The sequence below is a fragment of the Homo sapiens genome, chromosome 3, assembly GCF_000001405.40.
Source record: "Homo sapiens chromosome 3, GRCh38.p14 Primary Assembly".
NCBI lineage: Eukaryota > Metazoa > Chordata > Mammalia > Primates > Hominidae > Homo > Homo sapiens.
Window position 1 is genome coordinate 167,439,361 of NC_000003.12, and position 19,871 is coordinate 167,459,231.

Genomic DNA, 19,871 nt, shown 5'->3' on the forward strand with positions numbered 1-19,871 from the left:
TTTTTGTATTTGTTCACTGGTTTACTGCTACCAGTAAAATGTCAGCTCCAGGAAGACAAGGACCTTGTCAGATTTGCTCACTAATACATCCCTTGTGCTTAGAAAACTACCTGGAACATAGTGGAAGCTCAATTAAAATTTGTAGAATGAATGAATGAATCCCCAGAGCATGACATTTAATGCATGAAAGAGGATCAGAAGAATTCAGCCAACCCAAGAGAAACAGGAATCTGGACCACAGCTGAATAAAACTACTATCCTCTTAACTCATTATTCTCTCCTTCCTGAAACAAAGACTTATATTTTTAAAACAGATATGTTGTGAGGAATTTATGCCACAAATGCATATTACTAACATATAGATTAGTATTTACTGTGTTATATCTAAGTATGCTCAAATTGAAAGTAGAGTAATGAACATTGCTTTCAATTATGTTATGATTTTTAAGCAATCACAATTCATTCTAAAGTTGGCTTCATAATGTCTTGAGTATTGCTGTAGGTTTTGCTGTAGATGGATACCTAGATTTTGAAAATTAAAATAGAAGGTGGAGGGCAGCAGAATATGCCACCCCAAAAGATGCCACTTTAGCATAAGGGTTATTTTGAGCTAAAGGCAACTGAGAAGAAGTAGATACAGGAAAAGTTATTTGCCTTGCCTAAACAATTTGCCTAAAAACAGAATACAAATTCACAAAGTTATCCCTCCTCCTCTCTCTACCAAGTAGGACAGAATTTGATCACTGAAGATGACTTAAGACCCTTATCATCCTGGAGATATCACCACAGGAATCTACATAACAAATTTTACAAAATAGCCTTTATCTACCATATATTTGCCTTCCTACAATTTACTGCCCTTATAAATCCAAGGTCCTTTTCCTTTGTCATTTCTTCAACCATGTATTGTTCTTTGTCGAAGATGCTATGTAAGCCAGAGTTCTAAGCCACTTCTTTGAGATTTACTCATTTTTTCCTGGGTGTCTTCTATGTGTACATGTGGTATACATGTTAACAAATGTCTGTTTTTCTCTTGTGAATCTTTTGTTTTTTGAGACGAGGACTCACTCTGTTGTCCAGACTACAGTACAGTAGCATAATCATAGTTTACTGCAGCCTCAACCTCCTGGACTCACGTGATCCTCATGCCTTATCCTCTCGAGTAGCTGGGACCACAGGCATGCGCCACCACACCTGGCTATTATTTTTAATTTTTATGTAGACCGGATATCACTATGTTGCCCAGGCTGGTCTTGAACCCCTGGCCTCAAGCGATCCTCCCACCTAAGCCTCTCAAAGTGCTGAGATTACAGATGTGAGCCACCACACCTGGCTATCCTGTATTTTATTACAAGGGATACTAGCTCAAAGCTATGAGAAGTAGAGAGAAAATTACTTTTTCCTTCCCTGCAAAGGGAATATAACTCAGTAATTAAGGTCACAGACTTCTAGCTTGAGTAGTTCTGAGTTCAAATCTACCCACCATATTTATCAGTTGTGTGTCTTTGACTAATTTTATAACATTTTTCAATGTCACTCTCCAGTAGTTCTGAGTTCAAATCTACCCACCATATTTATCAGTTATGCATCTTTGACTAATTTTATAACATTTTTGAATGTCAGTCTCGAGTAGTTCTGAGTTCAAATCTACCCACCATATTTATCAGTTATGTGTCTTTGACTAATTTTATAACATTTTTGAATCTCAGTTTCTTTATCAGGAAGTTAGGTAATGCTGTTTCATAAAAATTTTAGTACATTTAACATAAGGTAAAAAGTGCTTACTTCAGTGAGCCCAACACAAAATTAGGGCTCATTGAGGTGCAGCTATTATCATTAAGCTCTCTGCCAAAATTGCCAAGACAAACAAACAAAAAGGAATTTTACATCATTAGCTTGAAAATGGAAAAACTGTGAAACATGCTATATGAAGTAATATTGGAATGTAGTTTTAGCTTTTGATATTTAGATGTGATGTTTCAGAGTATTCAAGGGAAGGGATCTGCATTTAATCTTTATAGTGCACAATCTTGACTCTAACACTTCCTTGGCTCAGTATTGTAAAATTGTGGAAGTTCAGCTTCCTGAGTCACGCTAATTATGCTGCCACTTTCACCTATAAAAAGAGGAATGCTTTACAGAAGCGCTCAGCATTTCTATGTTGTGTACATTTTAAAACCATAAATCAGTAGAAAAAAAACTGGTATGTTTCAAAAGGTACTGAAACAACATAAATATTAAATGTAACATGTCAAATAACAAGTTAAGATTAGTGAAATACCCAAAGCTCCTCTATTGCAAGGAATACTGGATCTCTGTGTCTTGAGTGACACCCCAGAGAGGCATGTACCATGGCCATTGTCTCTTTATCTTATTTCCCCATGGCTAGAAAATGGTACTATGCCTGAATCTAATAGTCTAGTATTTTAGGGAATAATAAATTTGCTATCTAAGACAAGAATTTGGTATTTAAGATATTATAGACAGGATTGTTCTAACATATGAATGGTAATATTTTACGTACGCTCAAGGTTTTAGATGCATATAGATTTTCTAAAACATACAGAAGGAATGGAAACAAATGCATACCTAATTTTACTTATTCATCAAGACAGATATCTATTACTACAGGCACAGTTTAAAACAGAAAAGACATAAGATATAGAGCAAATATTGTCAAGATGACGATATTTTGCCAATCAGCTATTTTTGAGAAATCATCTTTTATTCTGAGGCTGTGCTTTTCATTCACAGTGAATCTAAATCTCTTCCTTTTATCTCCTGGGTGTCAGGATTTGTCACTCTTCCCATAAACAGAATTGATTCTAGGGAAAAAAAAACAAAAAAATATACTTTAGGAATTTCAGGAGAAAACAACTGACAATAATTAGTTTTTCTTAATATTTAACATGTCATTTGGTCTTTTTTCTCTGTAAGATAAATAGGCAGTGTCTAATAGCAAAGCCTTCTCCTTTGTCTCAAATTCATAATTATATCATTATTAATCATTTTCTGGTAATTTATGAGGTAAATTAACACCCACTACAGCTTGTCATGGAAAAAGCATTAATCCTGTTTTTCATAGAGGGAAACAAAAATAAAGTGACAGAGAGGTGTTCTTCTAAATATAGAGACCCAGTCCGGAGAACATAGCATAATAAAACGGTGATGAGCGTGGTAGAGTTTTAAATTTAAGGCATTAGCAATCATCATTTTATGCATGTAATGTAAGTCTTAAGGGCTAAAAGTGCAACTTCCCAGTTCTCCTTTTTCAGCTCTGAATCAAAGCTTACTTTACCTCCAATGACAATATTTTTATATCTCTAGTATTTTCAAATACTGACCAAAGTGATATAGTATACAGCATAAATGCAAATACCTGTTTTCAACCATTCTGTGTTTGCAAGTGAAAAGGAACTAAGAACTAAAGGACAAAACAGAAAGAATGATGTACCAAAATCTATTCACCTTTCTTTTAAACTGGGTTAAGAGAAGTGGCCTAAATCAATCAGTGTCAAATGTTGCCTTAAGTTCCTTATGCTCGGATGTCATAAAGGTTAATTTCAAAGGCGACAAATTTTGCATAATTTTAAAGCTAATAAAATGATATTTAAATGCATTTGAAATAATAGTGGGACGGCCCTTTTTTATTAACTCTACTATTCAGTCCAAAGACACACTCTTTGAAGAACAAATAACATGGAAATAGACATAAACTCCAGCAGATTTTATTTTATTTTTTTGTTTTGTTTTGTTTTGTTTTCTGAGACGGAGTCTCGCTCTGTCACCCAGGCTGGAGTGCAGTGGCGGGATCTCCGCTCATTGCAAGCTCCGCCTCCCGGGTTCACGCCATTCTCCTGCCTCAGCCTCCCGAGTAGCTGGGACTATAGGTGCCCGCCACCACGCCTGGCTAATTTTTTGTATTTTTAGTAGAGACAGGGCTTCACCGTATTAGCTGGGATGGTCTCGATCTCCTGACCTCGTGATCCTCCCGCCTCAGCCTCCCAAAGTGCTGGGATTACAGGCGTGAGCCACCGCGCCTGGCCCAGATTTTACTTTTTATTATGAATAATTATAGTCAACAATGTTTTGTTTCAAAATATTAAAATAATTCTGGAAAAAAGAAAACAAATACCCCAATATTTCAGATAGATAAAGATACATAAATACATCTCCTAGAATAGATATTACATTTAGTCACAACAGGAATAAGCAGCGACTCCTATATCTTCATAATATTAATGCCATAATGCTATGGCATTAAAATGCTCATCAGAGTAGTTTGTCTGGAAAAATTTTAAAGTAACTTCTATAAACACTAAGTTATAATTGAGGACAATATCTTAAAATTTTAAATACCTAGAAGGGTAGAATGTTACATAAAACCCATTAGTCCCAGCCTTTTCAATCTGTCTCTTTCTCCAGGAAGAATCACATTTTGAATTGAATCTTCATGCCATCATCAATCTACTTACTACTAAATTGGGCAGATTAATAAAATCTCCCTTGACATAATAGTGAAGAATTTAGAGGCAGACTGAAGCAAAAATGATTATTTTTTATCTTCATGCTTCCTTCCTAAATAGGTACCCCCATATTTAATCAATATATTTATACAACATCTTCATCAGATGGAAGCAACTTTTACCTCCTAATATTACAATACAATAGCATTACCAAGCTAATGGCGAGAAAAAAAATTCTTAATGGATATTCTGCAATCTGCTTCTCCCCTCAACACACAACCCAAAAGAGTTCTAAACACAATAACTTTCATTATGTCTGGAGTCCTGTCAATTTCAAAATCATAATTCACTATTTTTTCAGGAATGGTACCTTTCATGAGTATCCTTCACAATTTTCTTCTCAAAGCCTATAAAGTTGGCCTACATCCCCAACCTTAAAAAGGTGCTTTATTGTCCTAGAAATTTAGCTTAGTAAGGGCTTTAGAGGAATATACTGCAATATAAAATTCATCTGATAGGAAAATCCAAATAATGGCTAGATTTTGCACAAAAGGACTGTTTGGATCAAAGAAAATTTCCAGGCTATGTAAAAATTGATTGTACTAAACCTAAAATCATTCATCCTCATACTTCAGAAATCATCAACAGAATACACTTTATGTATACCATGAAGCCATTTAATAGTTCACTATGGTGATGCTAAATCACTATCTTCATTAATCTCAATGATTTCTTGAGTTCATTTGTGAGAGAAAAATTGATAAATCACTAAATATGTATTGTCTTAAGATAACGGCCCTTTCTACATTTTATATGGCAACAACGGACAGTCCCTGATAAATGAGCGGCCATTTATTTTAAACAATACTTTAAAGGAGTAACCCTAGTTTAGAAAGTCTCACTACAATAAAGAACATAAAACAGTTCAAACTGTCATTAAGACCTGCTAGTTAAGCATTATCACAAATAAACAGATAAGTGGGTTATTTTGGGTTTTGAACTTTTGCTGCTGTTTTACTGATAGCTGTTACTTGGCCTTTGCATATAACAAGTCATCAACCTGGAAAATAGAGTAAAACATAATTATTCTAAATGCCATTATTTACTTGTGCATTGATGCCCAATGTAGCTTTTTTTCTTTCTGTCTCCATACTACATAATTATATATTAATTGTAAAAAATTAGAATTATCTAAAGGTTAGACAGACACATAGATCAAATGACATACTTAGAATACATTTGAACACTGACACAGCCATTACTAGAATTGAAGTTGTGTTAATGCAATCTCATCAATTCTAAAACTGTTTCATTGTTTTTAAGATATGACTTTCAGAAGGGTCTCTCAGCATTAGTTTCATGGAGCCAAAAAAGAGTGAAGTATCCCTTACTGGGCCAATAATATCAGTATCGCTAGTTCATCTAATAGATTCAGATTCTGCAATTAACTATGTCTCTTCTCCCTGTAAATGACTTTAAACTTTTTCACTTGCCTTTCTTCTTTTATTCACTCCCTCATTCATATTTATTAATTTATTCATAATGAACACTTAGTATGTGCCAGGCACAGTGTTACAGGCTTCAAAAATTCTTTTATTTAACTCTATGAGATGAGCACTACTATTATGTTCAAATAAGATATAGGGAAAATGTGGCTTAGAAAGGACAAGCAACTTGTTTCACAACTGTTAGTGAATTCAGCTGGAAATTGAGCCCAACCCAATTTCACACCCTCTGTCTATAGGGAAACTGATACTATGTGCAAGGCATTTTGCCAAATATTGGCCTGAATACAGAGATGAGTAAAATATAATTTCTACTATCCTGTGGTATGTAACTCTCACATGAGCATTATGACTGCTGAAGGATCCTAAACATAAACTTGACAATTTTCCCACTGTATTCACATTTCTGGCTTCTCTTACTCACAAGAGAAAGTGCTGAAGCATCCATCCAGACAATCTGAATTTCCCTGTGTTGACACTGTGCCCAGTGCTAATCCAATCCACTACTTCTACACTCCCTTTACCTAACTGCATCATCTTTCACCAGTTGCCCAAGTTGAAGATTTGAAATTACCTTTGACTCCTTCCTATCCCTCAGAACCTACATTAGTCACTTACTGTTTTGGTATCCACCTCTGAATTCTTTCACAACTCCACACCTCTCAATTTCCATCCCCAATGTGGCATCATACACAGACAGTTGACCTTTATTCCCACTCTGACACTTTCTAGCTACGTAACCTGAGACAAACCATACAATCTTTCTCTGAGCTTTTGTTCTTTACTAGTCAAATATCTAATCTTCTGGAGTGGTTTTAGCTTTACTGATGGTTATATGAAATGGCTACCGCATATAGTAGCCATGATGGCAGCCATTATTACCACTGCCCTATTTTAGGCCTCGGTCATCTCTTAAAATACAATTCCTGGTATATAAAATGCACTTAACAAATATCCACTGAAAGAACAAATGACTTCAGATATGTACATTGCAATTAGAAACTGGAACTAGTTCTGCTTAACATAATCAGTTCCCCCAAATAATTCTCAAAAAAGGTACCTGTTGGATTATGCTTCATAATAAACAGAAATGGATGATTTGCTATAAATTGGCTTTGAGCCAGACTCATGATCACAGGGATGTGTATGCCTATAAAATAGAGACAACAGTTATTTAGATACTTGCATTAAAAGATCAGTAAAGAAAGTATATTCATAATACATTTTGTAGACAGGAAAAGTCATTTTGTGTAAGGAGTTAACATGTGGAAAAATAACCATTTTCTAAATACAGAGGAATTTGCAATAAATTTAAAAACCAAAGTACTGAAGAATAAATATTAGGTCACTCACAGAATAATTCTAACTTTATATGTATGCTCAATGAAGAAGCAAGCCAGATACCAGATTCAATTTAGTGAAAGCAGTTGAAAAAATTTATCTTTTAAACAGTAATTTTCTGTTCACTTTTTATTTGCATTATATGATTTATTTCTACAATGTTTGTAATTCCTAATTCCTATTTAGGTATATTTGCACTTCGGGTTTGTGGTAATCACATCTGAGCTCAAATTAATTTTTTTTTTTACTTACTCTTTCAAAATTATTCTGTGAGCTCAGAGCTTTTAGGATTTGTGCAGTGAATGTGTGTGAGATTTTTATTATGAGATTTGAAGCAGAAATTTGCTGCCTTAAAAATTACTTTCTATGATTATTTATATTATGTTGCTCCATTACAGTATTTGTCAATATTTAGAATAGGAAAATATAAAAAGTTAGATATTTTTCCTATCTAGATTAAATGTTTTATGCTTAATTCAGATACTGTATTTCCCAATAATTGAATTATTTTGTACTGTTATTTTCAGACCCCAGGAAAAATAAAATCACTATGTATCATTAGAATTATAAAACAGTCAAATATAATCTTAGTATGATAACATGATTGGCACTCTCCTATCCAGAATATCAAGGGTATACCTAAATAACCAGTGAATATAGGCTCATGTCTGAATTACTACGATAAATCCAAAAGCAAGATCAGTTTTACTCCCATTCCCATTTACAGTGAATACTTGGACTTTTTTTGCTTTTGAGCAGTCCGTGAGTGGATTTCTGAAAGTCAAAATACCCAGACTGACTATTCTGAGGAGTTTTACTTTGATTCATCTACCTTCTCTTAATGATTGTTACAGAATCCTAGAAAATTTTAGACTTAAAATGAGAGACAGTGGGCAATAACATAAAGAGCTCTGAACTTAAAGTCAGGGAACATGAGTTGCGTTCAAATTCTGCTGTCAATCAATAATATGGCCTCAGGTAAGCCACTTTACATTGCTGGGCCTGTTTCTTCACCAATATAATGAGATCAAACAATAATCTATAAGGACTCTCTCAGTACTGTTTGAAAGCAGCTGGAAAATTTGTCTACATGATCCAGCAATTTCATCCAAATATAACCTTTTGACTTCTTCAAAGATTAATATAGTTCATCCCCTACAATCCAAGTTCCTTGAGCACAGCAATGCAAGATCCTTCAGGAGATGACAAAATTGTAAGGGAGTCCAGTGTGTTTCATCCAGATGTCAAAATCCATTGGCCCAATGCAGCATTGCAAATTAATCAAGAAATTAATAAATGAATATCAATTTTTATATATTTATCAGTAAGACATTGAAATGATAAATAGCTTTTAAATATTGATTAAAATCCAAATAGTATGGGGAATTAAAATAGACTTACAAGGAATTCATTAAAGTTGCTTGTCCATTTATAATTATTTTAGGGCTTTTTTCTAATTATTTTTCAAGCATTATTTATATGCAGCACAGATGCTATTTAAAATGTCATTTGTTCAAGGAAATATGGCCTAGAAGAGTGGTTCTCTAACTAGAATGTACATACAAATTTCCTAGTGATCTTGCAAAATACAGATTCTGATTCAGTCGGTCTAGGGTTTGGATCTGAGATTTTGCATTTCTAACGAGTTCCCAAGTGGTGCTGTTGTTGGTCTATGCACTACATTTGTAATAAAAAAGGCAAGCTGCAAAGCACTATGGAGCACTGGTTCTTCCATGCACATTGATATCACTTAGGAAAACCTATGAAAATTTTGGAGTCTGGATTTCACTTCCAGAAATACTGATATAATTATTTTGGGGTGTGGACTGGGCATAGGAGTTTTGTTTTGTTTTGTTTTGCTTTGTTTTGAGATGGAGTCTCGCTCTGTTGCCCAGGCTGGAGTGCAGTTGCGCGATCTAGGCTCACTACAAGCTCTGCCTCCTGGGTTCACGCCATTCTCCTGCCTCAGCCTCCCGAGTAGCTGGGACTACAGGCATCCGCCACCACGCCCGGCTAATTTTTTGTATTTTTAGTAGAGACGGGGTTTCACCGTGTTATCCAGGATGGTCTCAATCTCCTGACCTCGTGATCCACCCGCCTCGGCCTCCCAAAGTGCTGGGATTACAGGCGTGAGCCACCGCGCCCGGTTGACTGGGCATAGGAGTTTTTAAAGCTTCCCAGGTGATTTTTATGTGCAGGTTAAGTTTGAGAGCCACTGCCACAGAGATAATAACAAGAATCAAATTAGCAAAGTGGTGACTAACTTGGTGTAATGAAAGAATGAAATAAAATACAATTACGTAAGGGTGAGCATTCCTAAAAAATAATGATTTTATATTTGAGCCCTAAAGTTTTATCCACAAGTCCTATCTGCTAATTCACAGGTAATCCAATTCGCAAGTAAGCAAATATCAGTAGATAGGTCTCAACTCCTAATCAAACCCCTTCCCTTCCTTTTTGTATCATGCTGTGACTGAAGAGAAATATGAACAGCGTATACAACCATTTCCTTTTTTTCCTCCTGAAGTGTATTAGACAGCAGAAGAGAAAAAGAAGAGTACAATACTTCAAAAGGGTCAGCACCATAATGTTCATCCTCTCCCCATGTTTCCTTCTAGCTTGGCCAGAAATCATTCACCCTACCAGTTGATGTTGCAGCTTCACTACCATCTTCATTTATCTCAAAGAAAACTTTTTGCGTCACTTGGGAAACATACACTTCAGATGAATCTGGTTAAAAAAAAATACACAAAAGTGTATTTAAGAGTTAAAATCAAAAGCCGTTACCTATTAGATCTCAATTAATTACATTTATTTATTTATTTATTTATTTATTTTTTGAGATGGAGTCTTGCTCTGTCACCCAGGCTGAAGTACACTGGCACGATCTCAGCTCACTGCAACCTCTGCCTCCCAGATTCAAACGATTCTACCATTCAGCCTCCCAAGTAGTTGGGATTATAGGCTCCTGCCACCACACCTGGCTAATTTTTGTATTTTTAGTAGAGGTGGGGTTTCGGCATGTTGGCCAGGTGGTCCCGAACTCCTGACCTCAGGTGATCCACCCGCCTTGGCCTCCCAAAGTTCTGGGATTACAGGTGTGAGCCACCACGCCCAGCATCATTAGATTTTCAAATGATCAAAGACAAGGAAACAAATAAATGAACTTTTTCCTATTTAGTCAATTTGCAACAGATAAAGGTGATTTATAGGTTTAGCTCTTCCAGAGATGACATATATACAGAGAGAGATCAAGTTTTTCTGTGATATAAAAGGTAAATGATGTAAGCCTCAAATCAGGTATCCAACTAAGTGAAATATTTGAAGGGACAGAGAGCTTTTCCTCCCTTAGCCATTGTCTATAGACAGAATGAAAGAGGCTTTCCAGATCTGAATTAATCCCACCCTGTATATTTAACCTCAAAGCCAAAGTGCCTTTTATATTCTGTATTTGGTTTTGATCGTAGTTTAAAATAAAATGTACTTGCCTTCAAATCTGGGGAAGCTATGAAATTCTAAGGAACTTCTGTGTCACCTGTTACAAAATCACTTCAGAGATACACTTTAAAACCTGTTAAAATTTTCAGCATAAGATCGTGCTTTACAACGTTTTGTTCTGGTGTGGATATGAGCTGAGAGTGAATGCTCCTTTTTCTCCCCTTGGTGGAACTGATGTATATGTGAAGCGTTTCTGGTAGAGTGAATTGCAAGTATAGTCTCCTCAAGAAGGAAGAAGTGAAACCCGGAGCCCAGAAGCCATGTCAAGCTGGCCTTGCAAGACAAGATAGATCTGACAATGTTCCTCAGAGGACAAAGGAAGCATGCTCTAGAAAACTGCCTGGCTCATAATTGGCTCGCAATAAATATTTGTAATATATAAGTCAATAATAAATAGGTCAATGCATCTGAGTATGTCTAGTGATAGAAACCTGTAAAGTGGAGAGAGATGGGCATCCACACTATTAGTGTGAATTAACTGAAATGCGAGAGAATTTCTCTCAAGGTCCGGCAAATAAGCACCTTCTTCTCCCAGGACTGCCTGGAAGAAGACAAATAAACACAGAGGGAATGACCTAGTGGCCCACACCAAGAGGAAAGACCAAAAAGCAGGTTAGGAAGGAGTGAAGAATTTCACCCAGTTTAGCAATGGCACCAGCCCAAATGACTCCCTGGCTATTAGACTAATCCACTTAGTCTCCTTTGTTCCATCTCACTGCAGAGAAAGCCCAGTCTTAGGAAAAGAACAGGCCCTGAAATATGATAGGTTAGAAGTAAGAATGTGGACTCTACAAACTCATTCATTATACCTTCATAGTCATTATTTCTCTTAATTTTTAAATGAAAATTCTAAGTACATTGTTATTAAATTAAGAGAACAAGAAAACAATACGTTTGCTAGATGTGCAAGTAATATTAATGTGATACTTTTCCCACTTGCTGTTTTATATTTAACTATGTGCCAAATGTTAAACTAGATGATTTACATACATTCTTTTATTTATTTCCCCAGTCACTATATTATCTCACTTAACAGATTAGAATGCTTACACTCAGAAAGGTTAAATATTTTACTACAGGTTACACAAGGAGTAGTAACTGAGTGAGAAGTCAAATATTTTTCTAACAGTTTCCAAAATAACTCTATAAAAACATTTCATTCAAAACTTGTGAACTATATAAATATAAGGTAGTGTCCCTTTCACACAGATGTCCCATAAGACTAGTGTTGGGCTGCTTCATAGTAGCCTTTAGTGAATGTTTATTGTACAAATGATAAGTAGAGATAGCAGAGAATTTACTGTGCTCCTAGCTACCAGCAGGGGTATCAGCATTGGCTATGACTATTCTATTCTAGGCAATAAGACGGAACCAAAATGGTTAAAACAGCTCAAATAGGTAACTCAAGAGGGAAAGAACAGAAGATGCTGGACATTTATTCTTTTCTGCACTGGGTCATTTTCTTGAATAAAGTCTTTTATGAAACATTTTGGAAGTATTTTCTTTAAAAATCTGCCTGTAACAGGAGATTTTTTAGAAGTCACAAATTGCTGGGAATTTGCAGAACAAGTGGCTGTTTGAAGTGTCTGAGGCATATTGAGTGATCTCCCTATGGCCAGAAAGAAGTTTAAGAAAAGGAAGTGCATGAAAAATAGTTTGGATTATTGAAGGTTGAAGAGGTGGTTGTGTCTCAGGGCACACTTACAGAGCATCCTGTTGCAGTATTTAATGTTGACCATCTCATACCTAGTGCGGACAAAATTGTCAGAGAAGTCAGATCTATCTGTCAGTGTGAGAACGAGTAGCTACACCGTGTGTGAAGGTGATAATGAACATTTTGATATTTGTGACCTCATTCACCTCCTCCACCAGGAAAGTTTTTCATTCTGTTCATTTGCCCATATAATTGATGGGTGATGACTAAATTAACAACACGTTTCCAAAGCCCAGATACCTATATAGAAATAAATACATAAAACATTTCTGCACTATTTCATGTTATGATTTACAACCCCATCAGACAGACAAGCTTAGGCCCATTTTTATAGAACAGAAGACTGAATTTAAAAGAGGGTAAGTAACTTGGGACAAACTGGCTCTCTTCATCCATTTTTTTAGCGAGTTATTTTTGAACTAGTGTGTACCACTGAGACTCGAAGAATTCAAAGACTATCTTGGCTTTGTTGTACAAGTGAACGTGTTAACCATGCAGGATTCCCCTGATGCGAGTTAGCATAAGAGCTCCATCTTATCTTCTCAGATATGTTGTCAGCCCAAAAGACTCTGTTGCTAAATCTGCAAGCTGTAGCGTTACAATTTCTTGATTGTGTTCATCATCCAGCAGCTTATGGATGACTATTTCATGTGTTCTCATATTAGTGAATTAACATTTGCAAATTGGTTTATAAGAGTTGTATTAGCTCTGCTTAGATGAGAGACTCAAAGTTGTAATTCCCATTATTCAGATGAGGAGATCCAAACAGGGCAGAAATAAAAACCCATATAATACTTTTACTTATGTAGTTTTATTAGAAGTATAGCCAGAGTGCTTATCTAACATTCTAAAATGCTTTTTGACTTTCATTAAGAAAAACTACTTAAACATAAAGTGCTTGTTTACAGACAGCTCAACATGACTATGACATTTATTCACTGTGCGTATATTTATCAGAGCTGAATGCTCTTTCAGTTTTAAGCTCAGCTAGTTAATGTAGTCCTAACAAAACAAATTAACATCATAATATAAGAATTATTTATCATACTACCTGTTATTCCAGAAAGGTCGCAGCCACCACTAAATATCTCGGTTATGTTCAAAGAATACAAAACGTCTTTGAAGTCTACTTTTTGTTCTACTTTAAATCTGTTATTAAAAAAAAAAGAAAAAGAAAAGTCTTGAAACACTGCACATTTTTGCTACCAATTTTTTAATGGATGACTTAGAGGATAATATATTGTAAAATCTTTTGTTTTTATTATCTCAATTACATTTTCTCACATTTCACACCATTTTCCCCGGCTCCAACAATCAGCTCTGGGTTGCCAATAACTTGCTTCCCAGATAAATGGTTGGAGGAAAGAGGGAACAGAAATTGCATTTTTTTTTGAAGTAACAATTACCCAACAAAACTCGGTGAGAATTCTAAGTTCTATCTAAGGTCTCAATTGCTTGGCTTCTTTCTAACAAGTCTAAAATTTCCCTCTTATGTATTCAAGATTTTTACACCATCAAAGATGGTTCCTGGCAGATGCCCATGACATGATGAGCAGGGAACAGGAGTCCACAGTCCTTGGAGAAGATTGTTAGCTATTAAGGAAGAGAGAAATATTTATAACCCATCATTCATCTCGCCCATTGTCACAGTCAATGAGATGTTCTTTAGTGTATGGACAGGCCTAATATCTTTTAAATAGGCCCTATAAAAGGATAAAGGAAGGGGAACCAGATTTCTTTCAAAGGAAATAAAAGACAAAAATTACAGGAGTGGGGGGGGGTGGGCAAAAAAAAAAGGAGGTAGCCACTGCTTCCAACACTGAGCCGTAAGTTAGGAGACTAGTGTCTGGCTCACCTGTCTGTGCCTTAATTTGCCTCACCTGTGAAAAGGGAACTTAACCAGATAATCCCAAAAGATTTTCTCAGCCACTGATCTTCCACGATTCCAAGTCAAAAGCAATCACTGAACCTCACTTTCCCATTTAAATAAAAGTGGGGGTGGGGGGAAGCTAGTACTTATTGACTTCATAGATGCTTAAAGCATTAATTTGCATTTTAAATACAGATCAGAAACTTTGTTTATGAAAGAAAAGACACATGTAATAATCTTAAACAGGGAGCTATATATATTTCCTACATCAGCAAAATTCCAGGCAATTCCCAATGAGGGGCTTTGTCTATGCCCTCTGGGCATTGACCCCTGTGCTCCCCAGTTAGAATGCATACGCTAGTGCTCAAGGATCCTTGTTCATTCAGCAGGTAGGCCCACATCTGGAGCTAGAAATTAGGTGGGGCAATCAGTCTAATTAGATCATTGTTTTAATTGGAAATACTGAATGAGCTTCTTAATTATAATTCTCCAAAGCAATGAACATGCTGTGGCAGAACTCTACTGGGACTAAATTATTTCTTGGTAAAACAATATGTTTTTTTGGAAGATGGTAACTCATTCAGAACCCTATCTACCTGGGAATGGACACAACATGCACATTAAAATCAGCTGATAAAGAAAATAGCTCATTCTATGCCAACTGCTTTCACCCTCTTCCTTGTAACTTCCTACTAAGAAAGATAATATGCAGCATGATGGTTTGGGAGGTTGGCTTTTTTCCTGTTTTTATTACCACAGTCTTTAAACTGAATGGAGTATGGGCTTTTAAAGGGTGGAGAATATATGTTCTAATCTACCTATAAATGGGCTATAATAGTCCAATAATTTTAGGATAATGACAAAAATACTGCAAGACTTATTACAACTTCTAATAATGCCTAATTATCACTGGAGAGTCATTTAAGTAACAGTCCTGCTCATAATATAGTCCAATGAAACCTACAGCAATAAAAACACATTCAGCCATCTAATGAATGTATAATCTACAGCCAATTCCTAATTATCCATAATTATTGGAGCCATGAATAGCCAGGTGTGAAGAAGCACTGCCATGTGTTAGGTACTTAAGATAAATTATAGTTTTTAATCTTTAGAAAAATCTAAGGAAGTCGGCATTATTTCCATTAACGTATAAGAAAATAGAAGCCTGAGGAGGTTAATTTTCAGGCTTAAGGTTAAGGTAGGTTCCAGAGGTATGATTTAAACTCAGGTCTATTTGAAGTCAAAGCTAATGTGCTAACTGCCACTACTTTCTAATCAAAATGTAATTCAACACCACCATATTGGTCAATATATATAATGTCCCTCTTCCAAAGTTTATGAGTCTTCATATTTCTCCCAGTTGTGGTTCATTTTCCCTTTTCCTTAATCCTCCTCTAAAATTGTCAAAAGAACAGCAGGCAAAAGTAGAAGAATGAGCAGCAAAATGCTAGATAAACAATTAGCAACTAAATCATGAATGGAATTTTTAGCATATGCAAATAATATCTATTTGTTTAAAAGAGAGTAATTCACTCCCAAATGTAACCATTGTGCTGAAACAGATCTCACAAAGGGAAAAGCTGCAGAAAAATGAAAAACAATCCCAATTTTTGTTTTAAGAATGACCTACTTCTGGCCTCCAGGCCCTGTTGGGGAATGGTATTGGCCCTTCCTTTCCCCTTATCCCCAGAGTTCTTGTTTAATGAAAAAAAGTCTTGGATCAATTTCCCTCTGGGTTTGTGTTATCATCTGAAATCCCAGCTTTGGTACAGTGGGCTTGAATCATTCTTGGTGTATTAGGCTATTCTCACACTGCTATAAAGAAATACGAGTCTCAAAAAAAAAAAAAGAAAAGAAAAGAAAAGAAAAGAAAAAAGAAATACCTGAGACTGGGTAATTTATAAAGAAAAGAAGTTTAATTGGTTCACAGTTCCAAAGGCTGTACAGGGAGCATGATGCTGGCATTTGTTGGTTACCAGGGAGGTATCAGGAAACTTACAATCATGGCTGAAGGCAAAGAGGAATGGGCACATCTTACATGGCTGGAATAGGAGGAAGAGAAACAGGGGGCAGGGGCTACACACTTTTGAACAACCAAATCTCGTGAGAACTCTACGATGAGCACAGCACTGAAGGGGGAAATTTGCCCCCATGATCCCATCACTTTCCACCAGGCCCCATCTCCAACACTGGGGATTGCAATTTGACATGAGATTTGGGTGGGGACATAAATCCAAACCATATCACTTGTACTGTTCAGAGCTGGAACCAACCAAACCAAATCTTAGGGTTGCTCATGAGGAGAAAAATACAACACAATCTTTGACAATGGTGGCCCTAGATGGTTATGTGAGTACACAGTAAATTCTGGTCACTTTCCAATCAATTACCTCTGTGTGTGTGTGTGTGTGTGTGTGTGTGTGTGTGTGTGTAAAATAATTAAAATACTCTATTAACGTCACAGGCTGAATTTAAAATACTTTCACATATGAAACATCTGGATAATGTTTAATGTATGCCTAGTATTCCCATTTTTATCCATGTCCAATAGGTCAAAGTAAACGAACATTTTGTAATCACTACTGCAGCTGGTCACAACGTATCTATTCTCATATCCAGTCTCATTTTCCTTGCCTTCCTGCCACCCACACACAATTTACATTCACCCACTTATAGATCCAAGGCTGGCCAAGCCTAGAATTAATTTCTAGCCAGCAAAAAGATGATCATTTATGTCCTGTGGTAAGTGTTACATCTTTTGAAAAGTCTCCTTGGTACGGCTACTCCAGATCTCTCATCCTACTGCTCACCCTATCACTGACTGTTTGTTCTGTTCTGTGCTCCCTCTCTTGCTTGCCCTACAGTCACCTGTTTTCAGACGTCTGGCTGACCTCTTCTAGTATTGGCTCAGCCATTAATTAGCTGTGTGACCATAGGCAAGGTATTTACCTGTCTCCATCTTGTCTGTAACCTTAATGTAAAACTAGACCTTCATCAAATTGATTGAGGAATTTAATGCGATATGATGGGGGGCCACCTATTACAATGTTGGCATTATAATATATGGCCACTGTTAGAATTAAATGAGTAATAATACAAATAATATTTAGCTAATATTGAGCACTAAAAATTGTATACACATTATCTCATGGAATCCTCACAACACTAAGAGGCATGTGTTATCATTACTGCATTTAACAGTATAAGAAAAATCTTAGAAAAGTAATTTGCTTAAAGTTATATAGTAAGAAAGTGGCAGGGCTCTGGGTCTTCAATATTATTTTCAGTAATCTGGTTTCAACAATTGACAAAAGGTACTGTGAGGTGCCACATCAGTCAATATTTTTAAAGAATGATATCTCTCACAAAGACTATGGCTATTATTAAGATAATACTATACTTTTGAATAGAACTGTAGTGCTTAACAAGTTTAAAGGCCGAGATTTCCAAAAATTCAGTGAGAACTATAAAGCCTCTCCCAAGGAAAATACATGCATAACCTTACATGCATAAACTTGCAAATAATTTCAGGGCTTCAAGGACCCTTGGAAGTATATCCTAGACCTCTCTAGAAGTCCATGGTGCCCAGGTAAGGACTACTACAAAACAGCAAGAATTCACAGCCCTCTTGTTTTCTAGTAAGTTGAGCCTGGAACCCCCAAACAACCTATTTCTTCTTAACCCATATCTAGTTAGTCACACATTTCAATAATTTCACCAGTTCCTTACTATTCCCAGTGAGGCTGCTCCCTTTAAACACTCTTTACTTAATGTCCGAGTTGTTGCAGTGGTTTTTTAACTGATCTTTTAGGCTTTAGTCTTTCCCTCTTTAACAAATCCAGGTTATTACCACTACTCAGTTTAAAGCAACAAATCCTCATTGAATAGCTACTATTTTTTATATACATGCTTTTTGCTGCAGTCACAGAGAGGAAACATGCCTAGCTCTTCACCTCAAGTAGCTTATGGGTCAGAGGGGAAGATAAACAATTCATTTTAATATAACTGCTATGCAGAAATAAACACAAGGTACTAGAACTTTCCCAATGGGGAGAAGGGAAGATGCTTGTATGATATTGCATGGAGAGATCAGAAAGGCTTTCTAAAACCCAAACTTAATTTTAAGGACAAATAGAAGTTTTATAGAAAAATAGGAACCGTTGGCAGGGGTGGGGGATAAATGAGGAAGAGGGAAATTTTTCAGACAAGTTATCCAGGGTGAACAATTCTGACTACTACATAGATCTTTCTAAAACACTGACTTAATCATTTCATTGTCTTACTTGGACATATTCAACAATTCTTCATTGCATATAGGATTTATTCTTCAACTCTTTTAAAACCCAACTCAAGTCCTTCTTTCATGAAGCCTTTGTTTACAATTCATTTCCTGTGCACTCTCCGTTTTTGTGAACCTTCTAATGCTTACTTATACGATTCTTTTAGTACTTACTGTACATTGCTGTGTAGTCTTAGTGAATTTCTTTCTTTTTTTTTTTTTTTTTTTTTTTGAGACGGAGTCTCACTCTGTCGCCCAGGCTGGAGTGCAGTGGCATGATCTGGGCTCTCTGCAAGCTCCGCCTCCCAGGTTCACGCCATTTTCCTGCCTCAGCCTCCCGAGTAGCTGGGACTACAGGCGCCTGCCACCACGCCTGGCTAATTGTTTGTATTTTTTTTTTTTTTTTTAGTAGAGACGGGGTTTAACGGTGTGAGCCAGGATGGTCTCGATCTCCTGACCTCGTGATCTGCCCACCTCGGCCTCCTAAAGTGCCGGGTCTACAGGCGTGAGCCACCGCTCCCGGCTGTCTTAGTGAATTTCTTGCACAAATCTTGTACTATTCCATTTTATCAATAGGTGGTAACCATCTTATCAATAAGGAACCTATTGCTTTACATCTGTCCCAGCCTCTTGCCCACAGTAGAATCCCAATCAATGTTTTTGAACAGGAAATACACTTTCTAATAAGTATCAAACTAATAAGGCTGTGACCCAATAGACACGAGAGCTGATCCTTCTCTGTCAATACTCATTGAATGGCAATCAATTTATCTTCTCAGTGCCTCAGTTTTCTTATCTGTGAAATGGGAGAATAACTAAGTCAGATGATAAAATCACAACATTTGCTATTAAAATATAAATGCTAACACTTCACAAAGTTAAAAGTTACTTGTTTATTTACCTTATGTGTATTAAATTATCATTTTTGCCCATACACACAGTTTTTATACTATATTTTCAGAATGATTCTTCTACAGAGAAGAATCTGGCGGCGTATAGCAATTATGTTTTAGATTCTTCAACCAAAGGAAGTTTTTTTTTGTTTTTTTTTTTTTTGAGACGGAGTCTCGCTCTGTCGCCCAGGCTGGAGTGCAGTGGCGGGATCTCGGCTCACTGCAAGCTCCGCCTCCCGGGTTCACGCCATTCTCCTGCCTCAGCCTCCCGAGTAGCTGGGACTACAGGCGCCCGCCACTAT

At 36.4% G+C, this 19,871-nt stretch overlaps 1 protein-coding gene across 3 annotated transcripts in view; it reads right to left on the reverse strand.

The window, feature by feature from the left end:
- Positions 1 to 2,572: 2,572 nt before the first annotated feature.
- SERPINI2 (serpin family I member 2) overlaps positions 2,573 to 19,871 on the reverse strand; it is a 35,031-nt gene continuing 17,732 nt past the window's right edge. For all 3 annotated transcript variants that reach the window (NM_001394327.1, NM_006217.6, NM_001012303.3), the window contains 4 exons: positions 13,576 to 13,673; positions 9,956 to 10,042; positions 7,032 to 7,121; positions 2,573 to 2,825 (listed from right to left, as the gene is read on the reverse strand). In NM_001394327.1, the coding sequence (NP_001381256.1) occupies positions 2,749 to 2,825; positions 7,032 to 7,121; positions 9,956 to 10,042; positions 13,576 to 13,673 (352 nt within the window). In that variant the 3' untranslated portion in view covers positions 2,573 to 2,748. The remainder of the gene's footprint in view (positions 2,826 to 7,031; positions 7,122 to 9,955; positions 10,043 to 13,575; positions 13,674 to 19,871) is intronic.